The sequence below is a fragment of the Homo sapiens genome, chromosome 11 (assembly GCF_000001405.40).
Source record: "Homo sapiens chromosome 11, GRCh38.p14 Primary Assembly".
Classification (NCBI taxonomy): Eukaryota; Metazoa; Chordata; class Mammalia; order Primates; family Hominidae; genus Homo; species Homo sapiens.
In genome coordinates, this window is record NC_000011.10 from 31801914 (window position 1) to 31819590 (window position 17677).

Below are 17677 nucleotides of genomic sequence, written 5' to 3' on the forward strand. Positions count from 1 at the left end.
TATAACACAAAAATATACCTTCAATGGTATGAGAACTTACTGTAGAGAGCTTTTTTTCTTAAAATTACATTTGTAGCCCTAAAAACTACAAATATGATGATACTTTCAAACAATTTGAACTAAAAAACGAATTTAAAAGCTTTTTTTAAAAAAAAAACTTTTCTTAAACACTGCCTGAAGATGCATCAAAACGAAGTAGATAAATTTATTTTTGTGCTGACCTTGCTTAAAGTGGCGTTATGTTTTAAAGAACAAAGGTAAAAAATAAACTGATTTTTTTACTTCTTCTTCTTTAAAAAATACTCAATTGAGTAAATGTGAGTTAGGGAGGAGTAAATAGCATTTGCCTTTTAAAATCAATATATATTATTCATAAACATGAAGAATAAACAAATACCTCAAAAGCTGAGGTAAGCATGGGCTGGGGAGAGCAGAATGAAATTATGCCGGTTTATATAACTCAGCTTATTACGGTTCATAAACTGTTCCCACAATGAATGTCTTTACCAAATAAAAAGAGAAAGATTTTTTTAAAAAAATCCGCACACAATATTTTTCTGAAGCAGATGAGTTATCTTATGTAACTGACCCAGGTTGAAAGAGATAGGGAAGGATGGTGGAAGGAGAGGGGAAAGTGGGAAGGCAGGGGAGTGGGTGGGGGGACTGGGGACTGGGGTGGGTGAGGGTGGGGGGGTCCATAATTAGCATCGTTTACAGTAAGAAATGAAGAGAGGGCGTTGAGAGTGGAGGGCCGCGGGGGCGGCGAGTGGGGCGGCGCCGGGAGGATCACCTGCAGAATTCGGGAAATGTCGCACGGCCGGGCCCCGCTGTGAGCTAGCTCTACAATCTTCTGCCGGGTGGAGTCCGGCAGTGGCCGCCCGTTGACAAAGACACCACCGAGCTGATTCACTCCGCTGTGACCTGAGGAAAGGGAGAGGAGAGGAAAGGGGAAAAGAAGAGAAGAGAGCAGAGTGAAGAGGAAGAAGAGGGAGAAGAAGGAAGAGGAAGATGAGGGAGAACAAGAACAGAAAGGAGAGGAGGAAGGGGAAGAGGAAGAAGGAGAGGAGGAGGAGACAACCACAATGCATCCTCATCCCCCTGCCAACCTGTGCCAACCTCGGCGGTCAGTTCCCTGCTATCGATCAAATAAAGGACAACAGGACCACCAGCCATGCCAGACATCGGGCAGCCCAGTCCAAGCAACCGTGCCCCTGCCCACTGTACTGCAGCAGCAACACAGAGTCAGACACATGCCAAGGAACAAGTACACATGGACCTCACTACAGCCATAACCCCAGCAGTGTCCCCAGCCCACTGCCCCTCTTCATAAACACTGCAGCCAGCCTCTGAACCCACAAAGCGCTAAGAACCGGCTCTATAAATCTCCCAAAGATCCCCTCTGAGTGTCACCGCAAACCATGGGTTCTACAGATCCCACACTGAACCTTCAAGGTCTCTGCAGTGTTGGGACAGTGATAGCAAACCTTACAGCCCTTGAGTGCTCCCTTAGACGCTAAAATCCAGAAATGTTTCCATCACCGTCCAAACTGGCCAAGGCCTGGCACAAGCATCGAGTTGGGTTTTGTTTGGTTAGAATAGAAGAAGGAAGAGGAGAGAACAACCAGAGCAGCCAGTATGTGGCTGGTGAACCCCAGTCCAGGTTTCCGCACCTCCAGTGCAGACGTGAGAGTCAGAGCCCGGGCTCGGCTTCAGCCACAGACAAGTCCGGCCACCGCAAGTAAGGCTTAGAGCCGGGAGTCGGTTCGCACCAGCCACTGCTCGCTTTATTTCCGCCGCTGAACTCCGCCCTCCCCTTAGCCAAGGATAGATATTATCAAAAAGAAAAAACAGAAAAGAAAAATACCACATCATAGTGTTCCCCATCCCTCCTTTATCTTTGTATCTCACAACCTCATCCCTGTGGTCCAACCTTAGAGAATAGGGAGAGGGAGTTAGCCCCTCTTTGTAGTCCCCCTCCCCAAAAACCACAGACACACAAAGCCAATTGCCAATTTCCACTTCCTTAAAAATCTCCAACCTGCAGCCCCGACTTAGATAGCAGCCCTCCCAGGAAAAGACGTGGCTCCCTGTTCAGCTCTCCTCTCCTCTCCTCTCTTCTCCTTGGAGCCTACTGATAAATTGACGCCAGGAGCCTGAGCTTCTTAGCAATAAATAAGCTCCAAATATAGAAGAGGGGGGAAAATATGATGAGCCTCTCTGACATTTGTCTTTAAAATAAAACTAGCTGCACGTCAAGTTTGAGCTTAATTTCTGGAAATAGGCGGAAGTCGCTCCGGATCATGCATGGAAGGCTAATTGAAAAGATCAGTCGGGGCGCTTGTGGCAGCCTTGTCACTTTGTGACAGTGCTCCGCTCCGGGAAATTGCATCGTCACGACAAACGGGACCGTGATAAAACGACCCTTTCCGTCCTTATTTGTAGATCACTCAGACGAGATTGAACTGCACTTGTTTCCCCTTCGAGGGGAGCCGCGTTTTCAGGGTAGCCGAAGGCTTGGGGCTGAGGGGGGGCCCTCACCAAGGCGCGGGTGGGGGCCGGAGCCTCAACTCGATGAGAAGTGACAGGCGTTTGGGGGATCTGGGCTCCGGCCGGGACCAGCGCAAGCAGGGACTTTGCGGGGACACCGCTTCTCCAACAGAGCAAGGCCTGGCCCACGTTTCCGGTTTCTCCTAACTTCCTTTTATTGCCTTCCTTTGCTTCGCAAGTTCCATCTACCCCTCCAGCTACAGAGCCCCACCTCTAGGCACAGGAAGCTTCCCGGAAAAAGAAAGGCTGTCCCAGAAAGAGACCGAGAGAGACTTTCCAAACTTCGGGCATAGCCACGGCAATTCCCAGTCTGCTAATGCCAAGGCGGGCGCGTAAGGCCGCCTAAATCTAGACCTCCCTCCTCACTCATTTCAAAAAATAACAACGTGCCAGCCACCTCCGCAGATACCGCCGGCTGGTGCTTGCCCAGGAGACGCCAGGGCCAGAGCGCCACTCCCAGCATCGAAATGGCAGAGAGAAAGCGCAGCTCCAAATTCCCCTTCAGAGGTTAAGCCTCAATCATTGTGTCCCTTCCCTAGGGACTGCTGGCGCTCTCGCCCACTGGCGATGATTATGCGCCTAGAACTCGACCGCGAAGCAACTAATAGGAAAACATATGGTGTCAATTTGGATGCTCCGCGCCTCGCGCACACCCGGGAACGAGCGGCACAAAGCCCTGCCGGCCGGCCCGCGACCCCGCGCCCCTCGGGGCCTGCCAGCCGGGCCGCAGCGACAAACGCTCAGGGCTGCGCGCCCTGGCTGGGGCCCGCCCGAGAGACAGCCTGCGGCTGGGGAGTCTGAGCTCCAAGGGGAGAGCCCAGCCGCCGAAGGCGAGCCTACCGGCCAAGCCCTGGGGTCCGGCAGGTTCTGCACAACTACTCCCGCAAAGCTCGCCACCTTTGTGCCCTTTCCTCAGCTACGCGCTTACCAGCCCCGGAAGCACCAGGGGGCGACCGGCGTTTCCAAAACAGATGGATAAGGTGCTGGGGACCCTCCTTAAGCCTGTGTGGTTCGGCCAGGGCAGGCTGCTGGAAGACCCGGGCCTTTCCACACTTTGAGTTCAGTTGAGCCCCGACGCCGTGTGCCTCAACCGTAACCTCAAACCGGGCCTGGTTTCGCTGGGCCTCCAGGCTCCCAGGTCGGAGCTCTAGACTAGCCCTGCCGCGTACCAGCACCCACCACGAACAGGAAGGTGGGTGGGACCCCACGGGGTCTGGGCAGAGGAAAGCAGGGAGGTACAAGGGCCATAAGTATCAAAAGCGCTCTGGGCCTGGGACTATCAGGACCCAAGCAATTGCAGTTGCCAGGGCAGGGATTTTCCAATTCCTGGGCACCTCCTTACCAGACCCAGTAAACCGTGCTCTCTCCCGCGCCCTGTAACAGCGAGTTTACCACCCCTACCCTGCTGCAGGCCTGGGGGCTCCTCTCCCCATCCCTTCTAGGCCCGTAGTGGGGTGAGGAGGGGAGGAGCTGCCCTGAGAGTGACTTGGGGAGAGAAGCCCCCAACCCCGCCGGGTTGGTGGAGACTTTCAGTCTTGGCTAAGCCCAAAGGGGCCTCCTTCTCGCTCAACTAGGAGAAGACTTCGCCCCGCCCTGATCAGCCCAGCCCCTCTCTCCGGGGTCAGAGCCCGGGCAGGGGCGAGAGGGGGTGTGAGTTACAGGATTTGGGGGGGATGGGGTTTCTCTACCGCAGCTTCGAAAACTCGGGCGGGCTGTTCTTAAGGGCCCAGCCCCTGCTTCTCCAGTATCGAGAAGAGCCAAGCAAACGCCCTCCCCTCCCGGGCTGCCGGGCGCGGAGCGGGGAGCAGCCGCCGCAGGTCCCCGGGCCTCAGTCGGTCGGCGGCCGGGCCAGCGCGGGCGTCGCGAGTCCCTGTGTCCTCCCCTGACCCTCGGGTCCGCGCACCCCGAGCCCGAAGTCCCAGAAAGACCAGAGGCACTTACTGTTCTGCATGCTGGCTCTGGCTGGGGGCCGCGGGATTCCACGGGGCTCGAATATGGGGCTCTGTTAGCAAGAAAATAGGAGTTAATCCTCGGGCAGCTGCATCAGGTAGGCCTGAACTCCCAACCGAGGTGGACCTGGGGCTAGGACAGGAGAATCTCCGTTCTTTAGGAATTGATCCACTCAACCTCTTGGGGCGATCTGAGGGTCACTCAGCTCTGCCCTGCAGTGCATACAAAATCTACCCTTTGGGGCTTGAAACAAAGTACTGGAATATCCCCAATCTGTTTCCCCTACATTCTTTAGCAGTTAACCCTTTAATCAGTAGAAGCGATGCCCCAATTTTGATTTATTTTCTTCTATCTGAACTATAGTGAAGAAGCATACTGAAATAGTTTGTTTTGACTGTTTGTGGGTTTTGAGCCCAAAGCAGCCACCACAGAACTTGCCTGAAATCTCGGATGTCTGTCCACTCTCACAATAAAAGGCCTCACACATCTGCGCGCCCCTAGTTAAAGTCTTCCCCCTAAGACAAAACAGAAGGAGAAAAAGGTATATCAAGCTGTGGTTCAACAGCATACGTCCATGGGCTCTCTGAGCCTCACTCTCAGGAAAAACACATGCATCTAGGGCTCAGTCAAACTGTCATCAAACTCTAAGTCCCAGCATTACACCCACATTTTCAGCGGCATCTGCCACAGAAGTCTCCATCCTTTAAAAGAGGCTGCTCTGGTCTGGCTTGGGAGAATTGGAAAATCTAGCAAGTTCGGATCCCACTTTGCAAAAATATAAAGAACCAGGAAAAGGGGAAGGGGGAAACAGGAGGAACAGTGGAGTAAGGAGTAGAGGCCAAGAGCTGAGGTTGAAGGGGTGTGAGGGGAGAGGAATACCTGAAGTTTGGAGACCAGGGGAAGGGAACCTTGGAACTTCCTGGTGCCGGAGAGCATAGGCTGGAGCAGTTTGGGAGGGCTGCAGGGCCACACTCCCTCCTTCCTTAAGGAACTTCACAAGACCCCCAGAACCCAACACTCTGCTTACCCTTTATCTTCTACTCCTCTCCCTACACCAAAAAAACTTCCCAATGGCCCCCTCTCCATCTACCTCCCAGCTTTCTGGGACTTTGAAAGGGGCAAGCCCAACTTTTTATCCCAAACCTCACTTATTGTGATTAACTTCTCTTTTGGCGTTTAGATCTTCACCCCTTTAACTGTACTGTGACACACCCTGTCTACCTCGCCTCACTGCTTTAAAAAGTACGAACAGGAGGGGGTGAGCGTGGTCGACAAAGCCGACAGACGGCAAACAATGGCTTCTATTCTCCAGCTTTCCTCGAACCCAAGGAGCAAAACCGAGTCTCCCTAACCAGCAACACAGCTTCCAACCAAATGTACCAACAACCCACCAACTCACAAAGGGAACAGAGGGACGCTTCTAGCTTCATAAGCCCTGACCCAGTGCAGGGGTCCCCGAGGCTGCTCCCGTACGAACACCTCCCTACCTTTCCCAAAGGAAAAAAAAAAAAAGTCTTTTGGGTGAGTGGAGAAAATAGAAAAGTAATTTCTTGTTGTAAATATCTGGAGGTAATTGTGTTACTGGTGTGAGTTGTTAGGGGCTGTAAAAAGATACAACGGCACCGTGGGGAGCTCAATTGGGAAGAGAGAGTTACAATAAAGAGCCCATTCAAGAGGTCTGCCCCCCAAAAAGAGGTAAAATAACAAAACAGTCACAGCATCATTTCTCTCTGTTTTTTTTTAAATGCATTATTTTTTCTGTTTTACCTATGGTGATTATTGATCTGCCTGCCTGCAAGCAAAGAATTTCAAGAAGCACATTTTACTCTACAAGGCCATTCCTGGTCTACTTTTTAACTACTTGGTAGACAGCTTAAATCCATAAAAATAAACCGAAAATGAGGACTTTTTCTCAGCATTGGGTAAATACTGGCCACAGCAGAGGGTTACTAGTTACCCTTATCTAGGTTGGCTCTCCAATGCTTCCTTCCTGTCTCTCAGTCCCGGCACCCATAGCCATGCCCTGGATAGGCAAAATCTCCAACTCTAATGCAAAATACCCCACCCCAACAAATGCAGGACCCTGAAGCTGCAAAGGAGTAGTAGGTGGGGAGATGGGGAATGGAATTCCCCTAGGAGGGGTAAAACTTCCAGAACTCCACTTTGTAACCCACGCTGTGCACAATCACAACAGAATGCTCCCATCCTGGCTTGTAACTTCTTGATACCATTTTTTTTTAAATTCAGTAGCTGAGCACAAAGAGGCCTCGTTGATTAGTTTTCGAAGCAGCTGGGAAGGTGGTAGTATTTCAAATTCCAGTTCTGCTCCATTCCCACTTCCCTCTCGCTAAGAAGCTATCTAATTACTTAAGTAAACGTGAACACTAAGTGCAGAAGCAACCCGGGAAGTGGGGCACATCGACACCCGGAAGCAGTCCTGTGCACCGGAGAGGTCAGACCCCCAACTGCAGCCTCAGCCCCCCAGCTCAGCCCGAGGCTCTGTACGGCCTCGCTGGGGCCATAGAACCACATCCTGAACGAAGGAGTCTCCAGACATTTTGGAGTCGCCCCAGCCTTGGACCACAAGAGAGTGGTCACTGCCCCCACCTCTCTGTCCCCAACACAAGCCTCAGTTTTCAAATGCTGTTCTTTTTTTAATTACTTAATTCTCAAATTCCATCCCCAAACTCTTTAACTGAGGTAAAGGGGAGAGCTCTCGGTCCTCCCGCCCCCAGCCAAAAGAGTAATTAGCAATTATGATGACAAAGTTTTACTCTCTAGGGCCAAATAAGATAACAACTAATCAAACTGCCTTCACGCTTTTGCAAAGGTCACTGGCTATAAAAAATGTAATGTCAACCGCAACAACTATTATTTCTCTTCAGTAAACTCGCCAGGCTCAAGCTCTTTGCCTTTCATTTCATTTTCTGCTCCCAGCCCCTTCTAAAACCTTCCCAAGTTCGAGTTAAACGTCCAGAATGGCTTAGGGAGCTTGGGAGAGTATAAGAAAAATAAAAAGGAAGAAAGAAAGAAACCACGTTCACTTTGTTTTTAAACTTTCTAGAAATCGCTCATGAATGAAGAGCCAGGTTTTAGCACTCGAAAAAGAAAGCATTTCCACTTGAAATTCAACTCCATTTCCCCCAATTACACTTGCTAAAATTCAGGGCTATTATGGCGCAGGGAGACTGAGAAAATCTGCACAAGGAAAGAGGCAACAACTTTATGAACTTTGAAAAGACACTTTTCCTCCTGGGATCTTAGAATCGAAAGCTCTCAAATTACTCCGACTAATTAGCCGGGAGAAGAAGTGATCAGACGAGGGGGAAGGCCAATGCTTTCATACAGATTTATTTTCAAGGCCTTACCAAGAAAAACATAAGGGGATTCGGAGTAAAACAAACAAAAAAGCAAACCAACTCTGCACCTCAAAACTTGCTGAAATCCCAACACCTGGTGAGACTGGATCAGAGGAAAACAAGGAAAAATACCCACCAAGCGCAGGGGGCCGGAGAACAGGGAAGAGCCCCAGCCTCCGCAAGGCAAGGGAGATGAGAGTCGGGGGAAGCCTGGGGAGCAGAGAGTTTTCAAGTTCCGAGCTCAGCGCTCCAGTGGAGTTGGGGGCAAGAGCCCGGGGGCTGGGTGGAAGCTGACAGTCCTCCCGCTCGGCTCTGAGCTCCCTCGGAGCGCGCGTTCCACCGCCTTGGCCTGGTGGCTTCCTTCCCGGCTCGCGCTAGCTCGCTCTTCCCTCTACCTCCAGCGTGCGGCTGCCTTGCCGACTGACTCCACTCGGGCTGGTGGCGGGCGCGGTGCCCCCCTCGGCGCTCGAGTGCCGGCTGACTCTTCTGCGCCGGAGCCCAGTGCGGCACAAAGCCCGAGGGCCGGCGGGCGGGCGGAGACGCGGCGAGCAGGTTCCCTCGGCGCTCCCTCGGCGAGTCCTCGGAGCGCCCGCTCTCTGCGCGTTCGCTGGGCCTCGGGCTGGACAAAGCAGCCGGCAGCGGTTGCTCTCTGCGGCCGTTCCAGGGCCTTGGGCACCACAGAGCCTCTTCGTCTTTTCCCGCGGGTCGGGAGCATTGGGCGACGCTGGGGCTAGGAGCCGCGGCTGCTGTCGCGCCTGGAGTCTCCCTTCTTCCCGCGAGCTCAGCCCGCGCTGGCGCTGGCGCTGGCGCTGGGGCTGAGCTGGCCGCCCGCCCCGAGCCCTGCGCCGCTCCCGCTCGCCGGCAGTCGCCCTCCGACGCGGGCTTTCGCTGGAAGTAGAAAGTTTGGGCTCCTGCGTGGAAACTTCTCCGGCCCAACTCTCCCGGCGTAGCAGTGGGGGAGGGGACCGGCGAGAGGGGAGGAAGGAAGGGGGGAGGAAGGGGGAGACCTGTCTGAATATTGCAATAAAAATAAAGCGAGAAGAAAGAAGCGGACTCACCTTTATGAGGCATCCTTTCTGGTTGTCACAGCTTCTGTCAAGAGTTTTGTTTGGTTGGGGTTTTTTGTGCTGCTGTTGTTGCTTGAAGACCACAATGGTTTGAAATGACGGTGTTTTAAAGGAGTTGCTGGTGAGAGTTTTCTCCACGGATGTTGCTGGGTTGGTGTGTGAGAGCAATTCTCAGATTCCTGGGAAGGAGACAGAGATTGACAATAAAATGGGCTGTCAGCGGCTGGAGAGTGAGAGATAAAGAGTGTGGGTGAGGGAAGTGGCTGCAGCCAGCACACCTATGCTGATTGGTGATGGCTCAAGTGTGTTAATGTGTGTGTGCCGGCGCCCGGCCTCGCCTCCACCGCTCCTCACTGGCCCATTAGCGAAGCCTGACCTCTGTCATCATCCTCCAGCAAAACACTTCCTCCTGCGCCTGAACCAGAGCGGGAAATGAGGCCGAGCCACGGTTCCCTTTTCAAACCCACTAATCACTCCGCAACATGCAAATGCACCGCTCGCTCTCACACAAAATATTGCTTTATGCAAAGCAGCGCCGGGGCCTCGCGCCAGCCGATTGGATGCTCCCTCTCCCCGCCTGGTGCAATTGGTCCGTTTGTTTGAATATGAATACACTTGTTTTCGGCTCCGCCGGTGGGTCCCGGCTCCTCTCCCCGGCGCAGGGCCCCCGAGCCCGGGCTCTGGCGCTCGCCTGCATCTCCCCGCTCCGCGCACGCCGAGATTCGGCGCGGCCCGCCCTGCTGCCGCGAACTTGAGCGGTCAAGTGAAGGTTTCTGGGTTGGGGGTCGCGCCCCCACTCCCCCTAAGCTGGACTCGGGACTCCCAGTCCTCGGAGGGTGCAAGTTTCTGTGCTGTCCTTTCTTGCCAACTCCAGGACAGCGTGGCCTGCCGCCCCGCCCCCGCCCGCCCCCACCCCATCCCAGCCGGGGCCCCAAGACACAGAGCACAGCGGCGGCCGCACCCCAGCCCACCTGGCCCCTTGGAAGAAGAGGAAAGGGGCGGGAGCGTCACTGGGTCCTGGCAGCTCCATTCCAGCTGCGGAGGCCGCGGCGAAGCCTAGGCCGAGAGGAGGTTGCCGGGCCGAGAACTAAACGAGGCCAGAGGCCTCCCCAGCCCAAGCCTCCAGGGCCTGTCCAAATCCTCCACCCCGCTCTCCCCGCCCTTTCTTCTCTCCTTTCTCCTTTCGGAAGCCGCGGTGCGCAGCGGAGCAGAGGCACAGCTCTGGCTGGAGAGGCCCGAGTAAACACGCCACTTACTTTGTGTACAGAGGGTTCTTGTGAAAAGCCCTGAAGAGTCCTCACCAAACACTCACCAACTTCTCCCACGTGCCATTTGTTGACTAAGTGCGGCTGCTTTTCGCAGCGCCCGAGAGGAGGGGAAGCCAGGGGAGATAAGAGGGGAGGGGGAGTGGAAGCCTGGGTGGGGGGGCGGATGACCAATGCTGGGAGGGATTCTCTCTCTCTCTCTGTGTGTGTGTGTGTGTGTGTGTGTGTGTGTGTGTGTGTCCCACTGGCGATGTCGGTATGTCAGCGTGTGTCGTGTGTGCCACCGGTCATCTGTGTGTGGTGCGTGTGTCTCCGCACCACGACTCCCTCTCCTGGGTCTGCTCAGTCCACGGAGGCAGCTCCCCTTCAGCTGTTGCCAGAAAACCGGGGAGGAAAGTAAGTAAATGGCTTTTCTCTTCTGACCACACACCAGAAGTCCATTTGTTGAATGCCGCACGATTAGGACACACCTCAGTACACTCCAAAGGCGCCCCTCGGAGCCTGCAGTTAAGGTGACAGGAGAGCGAGCGGCTGCCTGGTCCTGCGCTGTCCCGAGCTCTCTCGGCGGCTTCGGGCCACGGAGCCGGGAAGGAGAAGGAAGGCCTGGGCTGCTGTACACACCCCAGGACAGGGCGAGGGGGAATAGGGCTGAAGAGCTGAGGCAGGGAGGCTGAAATGAAGCAGCCGAAGGGTACGCTAGACTCTTCTTGACTTAGGGAAAGTGCTGAAAGTCAGAGCTCATCAATAAAATCTGCGCGACCTGAACTCGCTGCTGACTGGCCGCGTCGCCGCAGCCCCTGGCAGCCGGGACAGTGAGGACGCTGCAAGCCGCCCTGGGCCGCCGGGCCACATGTGGGCCTCACCCTCTCGTTCCTGCCTGGGACCCAGCAGCCCTGCGACCAAGGAGCCCGGGCAGGGCTCCCGGGAAGCAAAGGCCTCCCCGGCCCTAGCCAGAGGTGGGGTCGCATAACCCTCTCCCCTCCCCGGGCTGGGGAGGGCTGCCGGCTCTAACCCTTCCCCGGGAGCTCGCAGCGCCGGGAGGAAACCTGGGTCAGAGGTGAAGGAGGTGGCGCCGGGTGTCCAGGTCCGCGGCCTCCTGGGCGAGGTTTCATTTCGCAGGAGCGCGACTTTCGGAGGATGCCGGCAAGTGGGGCCGCGGCCCTGAGTCCCAGACCAGCGAAAGTCGGCTTTCTCTTTCTCTCTCCTTTTACTTTCCAAGCGAGCATTAAAGAAGCTTGGACTCAAGACTCAAGTCCGCTGTGCATGAGCGAGGGACTTGCGGGGGGGCGGGGGGGGGGGAAGTGATTCTGTCCGAACTGGAGGCGAGTATCATTTTTACAACCTCTCAATTAGCGACCGAGTGGATTAGCACCTTCTTAAGCTTTGCCTCGGAAAGAAGCAGCCGTAATCTTGTTGCTATTTCCCCCCAGGGCACTGGCTCTTTGAATCAGCTCCTTCTCCCACCCCTCCAACCCCCATCTCGCTGCGGAGAAAAGTTTTAACAAAAAATCAGAAAAGGCAAGGAGCGAGGAGTGAATGCCACTGACGTCATTGGGTGGGGAAGGGGGCTCCGGGAAAGACTCCTGGAAACTCCTCCGCACAAACAAAAAACAAAAAGGACTTGGCTGCTTCCCATGTGTCAATATTTGGGGAGGGGAGTTCAACCCCAGAATGAGGCCGAGTTTTCAAAGTTTAAGGAGAGAGGGGTGAGAGTGAGATTTCCTCGTTCTCTCTGGACTGGTCTCAAGGAAGGTGGGGGTGCTGTTCTACCTCGTGGGGAGCCTCACTCCCTCTGCCAAGTACCGGCTCTGGGGGCGAAGCGGCCTAGGGGTGTGGGGGCCGAGACTGAGGTGCGGGCGCGGTTGCCAGAGGTGTGTACAAAACCGAGACAACTCGCAGGTCGCCATTTTAATTGCGGCTACCAACACGCCCGAGGCCCACTTGCTGCCCTCCAAGACGCGGGGGGGCGGCGGGGATTGCGCTTTAGGTTCTGTCTCCTTTCCCCGCCTCCCCACAGGCCCCTGTTCCCCCCTACCCTCCGCCCCCTGTGGCCAGAGGGAGGACCTCTCAGGCCGGCGGGTGCGTTCCCGCGGGGGCCGCCGGGGTCGTCCCACCCGGTAGCGGGGCTGTCTGCGTGGAGGGAGTCCCGCTGGGGGACCGTGGCTCGCCAGAGCCTGCCCAGAGCTTCTAGCCAGTATTGATGCGTCAACATGAGGTGAGGCAAGCATCTCACCCGCACCGATCCCTGGCATTCCCCTGTGCCCACCCCATCAGGCCTTCGGGGAGGCAAAGAAGTGCCCACTTCTGGGGGGAAGTGCCTCCAGCTCCCAGCTTCAGAACCAAGAGCCTCCCATCCGGAGTTCTGACAGTTCTGACACCTCCAAACTCTCTCTTTCCCCGGTCAAGCAGAGGCGCAGCGCCGGCGCGCTGGAAAGGGTGAAGACTGGCATTTTTTGGAGAAGGAAAGTCTTGGCAGACACCTGCGTCACTTTGTAGTGCCCCAAACGTCTCTCTTTTTGCAGACCCTGGGAAGGTGGGATCCCTTGTCCGCGGAGCTGGCAAACGGGTCCAGTGAGCCCTAAAGGCAAAGGCTCCCATCCCGGCCGCCCAGTCCCTGGTGCCTCCCCCACTTCCAGGCCTTTGTCCCTCTCCTTTCTCCAGCAACCTGCCGGTTCCCGCTAACCCGGCAGCCTCGCCGAGCCCAGAGCCTAGAAAAGCCAAGAAGATCCCAGAGCCGCCCCGTGGCACCTTCAGGCTGTGGCCACTGCTCGGCTTGGGGGGAAGCCGCGGTGCCCTCGCCCTTCCTCGCCTCCTGCCAAATGGCCAGTGCTAGGGGCTCCCTGGGTTCAGTCCTCAGTCCTCTTCCGTTCGCTCTGGGAGGCCAGCCTGTCTCTCTCTCTCTCTCTCTCTCTCTCTCTCTCTCTCTCTTTCTCTCTCTGTCTTCTCCCTGCCCACCCCCAAAATACCTTTAAAATAACATTGTCCAGTGGAGTCTCCCAGCAAAGGGATTCCTAGCAGCCCAGCGGGTCAGACTCCCAAGGCTTTGCCTCCCAGTCCCTCCATGCTGTTGTCCAGATAGGAGTTAGGTTTAAAACTCCTGACATGTAGGACAACTGAAATCAGCGGCACTCTCCGATTTTTGCAAATAGGGTTCCTAGAAAAGTTTGCTTTCCATTTCATCACCCTGTGACGATCCCCCCATCTCTCTTTTCCCTGTAACCTCTGCCCCCAAGAGGCAAGAGTTCAGCTTCAAAGGAAAAGCAAGCAAGTCAAGGCCACCTCAGTCCCTTCTCCCTGGATATCCCCTCTCTAAACCGCTGCCTATTCTAAAGGCCAACGACCCGGTCCTGCGATTTGTCCCGTTGTAGACCTGGGAACAGGCAGGCGGGAACTGGGGGCTTTACTGGGGGATTTGAGGCTGGGGAGGGGGAGGGAGCAAATGTCATGGCTGGCTCGCTCAAGCATCCAGGGAACCGAAGCTAAGCGCATCCTGACGGGCTTTTAAAATGACATTGATTAGGACAAGCTGTTCCCAACCCCAGTAAGAGTTAATCTGCCTGTTAATCAAGGCACTAAGGGGCTCAATGCGAGTTTTATTAGCGACAGGAGAACAGAGGCGGCAGCCAGGGATCAAAAGCCGGGATCCCATATATTTGTCAGCGCTATCTCCAAAAAAAAAAAAAAAAGTATTTTCAATTTGAAAACAATTCGGCGCTTTTCGTCACTTCCTAACCCAGTCTCACAGAGGGTGACTTCCAAACCTGGCTAGCGGGGAAAACCGCTGCCCGGGGGACAGAGGGGCTGACAGGAACTGCGGGTTGGCTCAGCCGAATGCGGCCGGGGAGAATTTAAGAATTCTCAGCCCGCGCGGCCCGATGCCTCTGATTCCTCACGAGAGGAAAGGGAATGAAAAATGAAGCAACAAATGACACCACCCAGGCTGGCAGCCCTCGTTCCCGGCCAGACCCCGCTCCTCAGGCCCGGCTCTGGCGCCGGGTGGCGTCCAGCCCCTGCACGCGCGGCGCGGCCCGCGGGAAAGTTTGTGCAGCGAGAGTGACTGTCCTTCCGCCTCGCGCGCGCTGCCCCCTTCTGCCCCGGAGGGGCGTTGGGTTCCCTTCGGTTTTCCTTTCCAATTCTAAAATAAATAAATAAACTCCGGGCCCTGGGGAAATCTGAATAGTAATTCCAGTCATCCAAATTCTATGAGAGGGTCTGAGGAAAAAAAGACAAGCCTATCACGGGCGCCCTCCGATCACGAAGGGCACGGGCATGAGAAGGCGACAGAGGAGGTCCTCGGCTCGCCCTGGGCGCGGAGCGAGGACTCTGGTCAGAGGTAATTATGTCACCGCGTTTTCTCGCCGTGACAGCCGAATAAACACGATCTCCAATAAACATCTCTAATGAGGGAGGAGGCCCGAGGATGGCTGGGTTTGATTTATGACTGGAGGAGAAGGTCCACTTCCCACTGCGAAGCAGGCGACCTGCTCGCCGCCCAGCTCCAGGGAGAGGAACCCGCGGAGGAGAGGATCCCGGCCCAGGTAAGGCGTGCGGCCGGACTGCCACTGCGCTCGTCCCCCGTTTCCAGGTGAGGTGAGCAGGGGGCGCCACCGCTCGGAGTCGGGCGGAGGTCCCAACACCTGTCACAGGTGACTGAGCTCCGAAGGTGCTCCCAGAAGACCTAGAAAGGGGGCGCAGGAGCGCGAGTGGGAGTGGGGGTTGGGGGCTAGCCGGGGCCTGGCCCAGAGGCCGCCCCAAACTCCCGGGCGGGGTTCTTGGGTGCCCCGCCTAAGCCGGCCTGGGCGTCTCCAGCTGCTTTTAGGGCCGGGCTCCCAGGACTTTCGCCCGGCTGAACCACAAGTTAGTCTAAGTTTGGGTCGTCCCTTCCCTGACTCACTAAGGGGACACTTCCGGGCCCCGGCTCTGGCCCTCCAAGGGCCGCAGGGTGGTGGGCGCTTCTCTTTCCCGGGCTTGGCGGCCCGGCTCCCATGGCGCCCGCGCGCTTCCCGCCGAGGCAGCCAGCGCAGCGCCCGCAGTAACCGGAGCCCGCGTTCTAGCTCAGTGAGAATCGCTAATTATTAGGTCTTCCGAAGTGAAGCTCAAATCACACGCTGGGAGCTTTACGCGCTGCCCAGCTCTGTCGGCCGCATTCTTTCGTACTCCGCGTCTTTCTGAGAAACGAACCCCATCTCTAGACTTTGTTGCGGTCCAGCCATCTGCACTTTGCAACCGCGGGAAACTTCTGCTGCACCTCGCCCGACCCGCGGCAGGGTGTCTTTAAGCGCTCCAGGCGCGGGTACGGACTTTCCCAAGCGTGGATGTCGTGAACTGCGATGCAGAGGAGGTCTGGATGCAAAGTGCGTCCCCACCTCCTGCATTTTTCGCGGTCGCGAGTGGCTTTAGCAGACAGCAGCAGCAGACTCCCGCCCCCTACTCCCAGCTCAGGGCCGGACTGGAAGTCCACTCTTAGGAGTGGAACATTTTGCTACTTTTGCAGAAGAGCACACTCGGCAAAGACAAGTCCCTCCTCCACCCCCCTTCCTATCCCTCCCTCAGTAACTCGCTTCCATCTTTGTATGCCTCCTTTTAAAAGCAAAAATCAAGCCCCGGGGCCACTTGGGGCGGGCTTTGATTTGGGGACAGCAGTCGCTGGCAGCGGAGAGGCCCCGCGGGCCCCGAGCCGGGCCGGGGCCGGAGCCCGGGCGGTTACCTGGGAGCGGAGGGCGGGGAGGCAGGTGAGCCTGGCAGCGCCGGTTCCCACACTTCTCACCGCCGCTCGGCAGGGGAAGTGGCAGATCTGACAGCCGCGTTCTACGCGAGGACCTGCCCCAGAGTTTAAATGTCAATGATAAGAAAAGAGGGTGCTCAGGCAGGCGCTAACTTTCCTTAATATCCACGCCAGCGCCGTCCTCATTGGCTGCCCGGCCCGCGTGACGTCATGGCGGCTAGAGTTGGGCACAGCTCTGCGCCGACTAGTTTTCCGGCCGGGCGGGAGCCTGCTTCTCCCCACCCAGGGTCCGGCCGGCTCCAACCCCTGCTTTGGCCTTCCTTGGCCCGGCCTGTGACTGCTCTAGCCCGGCCCGGTCCAGCCTGGGCCGCCGTCCTGTATGGCGTAGAGTCGATCCCCAGGAAACTAGTCTTGCCGAGTGCGCTCCTCCGCACCTTCGGGCACTAGGGCCCCAAGATCTCTGCCCTTAGGCTGGCCAGCTACCTCTCTGGGTAATCACCCTGTCCCCTCCTCCGATCCCCAAGGGAGTCCCTTCATCGGAGAGACCCGAAGGCCGCGCCGGGATGGAGAGGCGCTTTTGGCAGGAATCATTTTTAGGAGGAGTTCGAGGCTCGATGAGTACCCTCAACCTGGCCCTCGAGCCCGCAAGTCACTAGCTGGGCACAGACGGGGGCTCCGGGAAGAGGACATGCGACCCCTTTTTCAGGGCCTAGGCCAAAGGTCTCTCCAGGCCTGCTGGGTTCTCAAGAGGGAAGCCCTAAAGGGGGCCTACCCGGGCTTCCCTCGCCCTCTGGCTGAAAGGCTCCAACCACATTAGAAAATGTAGGTGATTGTATTTATCTTTGACTTTGAATTAACTGTTGACTTTGTGACTTAGAGGAGGAAAACAGGAAAATCCCAGATTCTGAAGTCAATACTCATAGAAATTGGGGCGGGGTCTGCAGGACACTGACTTGCTGGTCTGTGCCTGTTTTTCCCTCACACCTTCTGTGGACTGCGAGATGGCTTAGCGGAGCTAGGCCTGGCTATCTTGGAATGGAGATTTAGACCCTCGTTGTCATTCCCGTCCCTCATCCCTCAAAACAGGAAGCTTCTCAACTCCTTCCCCTATGCTTCCATCTGGCTCTCCAATTTGAAAGTGACAGTGGTGGGGCCCGGAGGGGCAGGGGTCACTTGAGGAGTTTGCGGGAGAGGAAGGGGCGGGGCGTGGAATTTCCTTTAGGCAGCTCGTGGAGACCCAGCCTGGGTGGACCCGGGAGTGTGTGTGTAGAAGCAGGGAGGGGGACGCCTGGGCCGGAGGAGGGTCCTAGGGCCAGTCCCTGCGCGCCTTGATCCGGGCGGCGGCTAAGGGAGAGCCGAGCACAGATGGCGCCGAGGCGGAGGTCTAGTGATTCCCGCTCCCGCCCCTGGCACACCTGGACAGGTGCCGGGCCTCGCAACCGGCCAGGAGGCAGCTCCAGGCAGCCCGTCTGCCCACTCCTCTTAGCCCGGACAGCTCCTAGCTGGACTTGATTTTTTGTCTTGCTCAGCCCGTCGAGGACTGGAGGGCAGAGTAGGGGTGGGAGTGGGGGTAGGGGTAGAGGTGGGGGTGGCGGTGAAGGTGGGGAGGAGAATGGGAGCTTTGGCTGAGAAGTTTCCGCAGGATGTTCTTACTTATTTACAAACATTCTCCAAACTTTCTTTCTTCTTCCTAACGCCCTGGGCATCCTGTGTTAAGGCCTAGGAGCGCCCACCTCCCACTGGCCACTCTAGTCTGGGCCTAGA

The 17677-nt window shown here is 56.3% G+C and overlaps 1 protein-coding gene and 1 long non-coding RNA gene across 53 annotated transcripts in view, besides 16 other annotated features; one reads left to right on the top strand and one right to left on the bottom strand.

Annotated features, from left to right (window-relative positions):
* Nucleotides 1-16048, bottom strand: part of PAX6 (paired box 6) — a 28936-nt gene extending 12888 nt beyond the window's left edge. For 8 of the 52 annotated variants that reach the window (NR_160916.2, NM_001368928.2, NM_001368916.2 and 5 more), the window contains exons 1-4: nucleotides 8915-9208; nucleotides 4936-5012; nucleotides 4489-4549; nucleotides 791-921 (exon numbers count right to left, since the gene is read on the bottom strand). Coding sequence is in view for 36 of the 52 variants with exons in the window: in NM_001368928.2 (NP_001355857.1) it covers nucleotides 791-921; nucleotides 4489-4498 (141 nt within the window). In the remaining 16 variants the exon portion in view is untranslated. Of the gene's footprint in view, nucleotides 1-715; nucleotides 2147-2944; nucleotides 3129-3475; nucleotides 4089-4488; nucleotides 4550-4935; nucleotides 5013-5376; nucleotides 5710-7992; nucleotides 8047-8914; nucleotides 9410-9894; nucleotides 10126-10179; nucleotides 10291-10658; nucleotides 10808-15895 lie in introns of those variants that run through there. The other 44 variants (NR_160917.2, NM_001127612.3, NM_001368921.2 and 41 more) reach the window with 24 other exon arrangements.
* Nucleotides 2202-2432: a conserved region, noted in NCBI's record as "conserved region; ultraconserved element uc.328". NCBI's record gives the evidence for it as "COORDINATES:sequence similarity evidence [ECO:0000044][PMID:15131266]".
* Nucleotides 2202-2445: a biological region, named in NCBI's record as "regulatory region in intron 4 of PAX6". NCBI's record gives its function as "regulatory_interactions: LOC106014249 | PAX6".
* Nucleotides 2230-2445: a silencer, noted in NCBI's record as "ele4". NCBI's record gives the evidence for it as "EXISTENCE:reporter gene assay evidence [ECO:0000049][PMID:9883578]".
* Nucleotides 2230-2445: an enhancer, noted in NCBI's record as "ele4". NCBI's record gives its function as "enhancer of PAX6 in the spinal cord" and the evidence as "EXISTENCE:transgenic organism evidence [ECO:0001131][PMID:9883578]".
* Nucleotides 3614-4283: an enhancer, noted in NCBI's record as "H3K4me1 hESC enhancer chr11:31827075-31827744 (GRCh37/hg19 assembly coordinates)". NCBI's record gives its function as "activates a minimal SCP1, AML or CMV promoter by ChIP-STARR-seq in naive H9 embryonic stem cells {active_cell/tissue: H9 hESC(naive)}" and the evidence as "EXISTENCE:reporter gene assay evidence [ECO:0000049][PMID:30033119]".
* Nucleotides 8975-9544: an enhancer, noted in NCBI's record as "OCT4-NANOG hESC enhancer chr11:31832436-31833005 (GRCh37/hg19 assembly coordinates)". NCBI's record gives its function as "activates a minimal SCP1, AML or CMV promoter by ChIP-STARR-seq in naive H9 embryonic stem cells {active_cell/tissue: H9 hESC(naive)}" and the evidence as "EXISTENCE:reporter gene assay evidence [ECO:0000049][PMID:30033119]".
* Nucleotides 8975-17677: part of a biological region, named in NCBI's record as "PAX6 upstream regulatory region", that runs on past the window's edge. NCBI's record gives its function as "regulatory_interactions: LOC105980003 | LOC105980005 | LOC105980073 | LOC106007493 | PAX6 | PAX6DRR".
* Nucleotides 9192-9601: a promoter, noted in NCBI's record as "pSP fragment for P1/B promoter". NCBI's record gives its function as "drives PAX6 transcription" and the evidence as "EXISTENCE:reporter gene assay evidence [ECO:0000049][PMID:9013587, PMID:9757029, PMID:17251190]".
* Nucleotides 9247-9304: an enhancer, noted in NCBI's record as "E1E". NCBI's record gives the evidence for it as "EXISTENCE:reporter gene assay evidence [ECO:0000049][PMID:9013587, PMID:11574690]".
* Nucleotides 9265-9280: a protein binding site, noted in NCBI's record as "EIE3 binding site". NCBI's record gives the evidence for it as "EXISTENCE:protein binding evidence [ECO:0000024][PMID:11574690]".
* Nucleotides 9384-9402: a protein binding site. NCBI's record gives its function as "autoregulation of PAX6 P1 promoter" and the evidence as "EXISTENCE:protein binding evidence [ECO:0000024][PMID:17251190]".
* Nucleotides 10652-11620: an enhancer, noted in NCBI's record as "H3K27ac-H3K4me1 hESC enhancer chr11:31834113-31835081 (GRCh37/hg19 assembly coordinates)". NCBI's record gives its function as "activates a minimal SCP1, AML or CMV promoter by ChIP-STARR-seq in primed H9 embryonic stem cells {active_cell/tissue: H9 hESC(primed)}" and the evidence as "EXISTENCE:reporter gene assay evidence [ECO:0000049][PMID:30033119]".
* Nucleotides 12464-12718: a silencer, noted in NCBI's record as "SX250 fragment". NCBI's record gives its function as "repressor of transcription" and the evidence as "EXISTENCE:reporter gene assay evidence [ECO:0000049][PMID:9013587]".
* Nucleotides 13682-14443: an enhancer, noted in NCBI's record as "H3K27ac-H3K4me1 hESC enhancer chr11:31837143-31837904 (GRCh37/hg19 assembly coordinates)". NCBI's record gives its function as "activates a minimal SCP1, AML or CMV promoter by ChIP-STARR-seq in naive H9 embryonic stem cells {active_cell/tissue: H9 hESC(naive)}" and the evidence as "EXISTENCE:reporter gene assay evidence [ECO:0000049][PMID:30033119]".
* PAX6-AS1 (PAX6 antisense RNA 1) overlaps nucleotides 14653-17677 on the top strand; it is a 70476-nt gene continuing 67451 nt past the window's right edge. The window contains exon 1 of the long non-coding RNA NR_033971.1: nucleotides 14653-14726. This is a non-coding gene — a long non-coding RNA (PAX6 antisense RNA 1). The remainder of the gene's footprint in view (nucleotides 14727-17677) is intronic.
* Nucleotides 15890-16162: a promoter, noted in NCBI's record as "pSpB fragment for P0/A promoter". NCBI's record gives its function as "drives PAX6 transcription" and the evidence as "EXISTENCE:reporter gene assay evidence [ECO:0000049][PMID:9757029, PMID:10079359]".
* Nucleotides 15965-16724: an enhancer, noted in NCBI's record as "H3K4me1 hESC enhancer chr11:31839426-31840185 (GRCh37/hg19 assembly coordinates)". NCBI's record gives its function as "activates a minimal SCP1, AML or CMV promoter by ChIP-STARR-seq in naive and primed H9 embryonic stem cells {active_cell/tissue: H9 hESC(naive and primed)}" and the evidence as "EXISTENCE:reporter gene assay evidence [ECO:0000049][PMID:30033119]".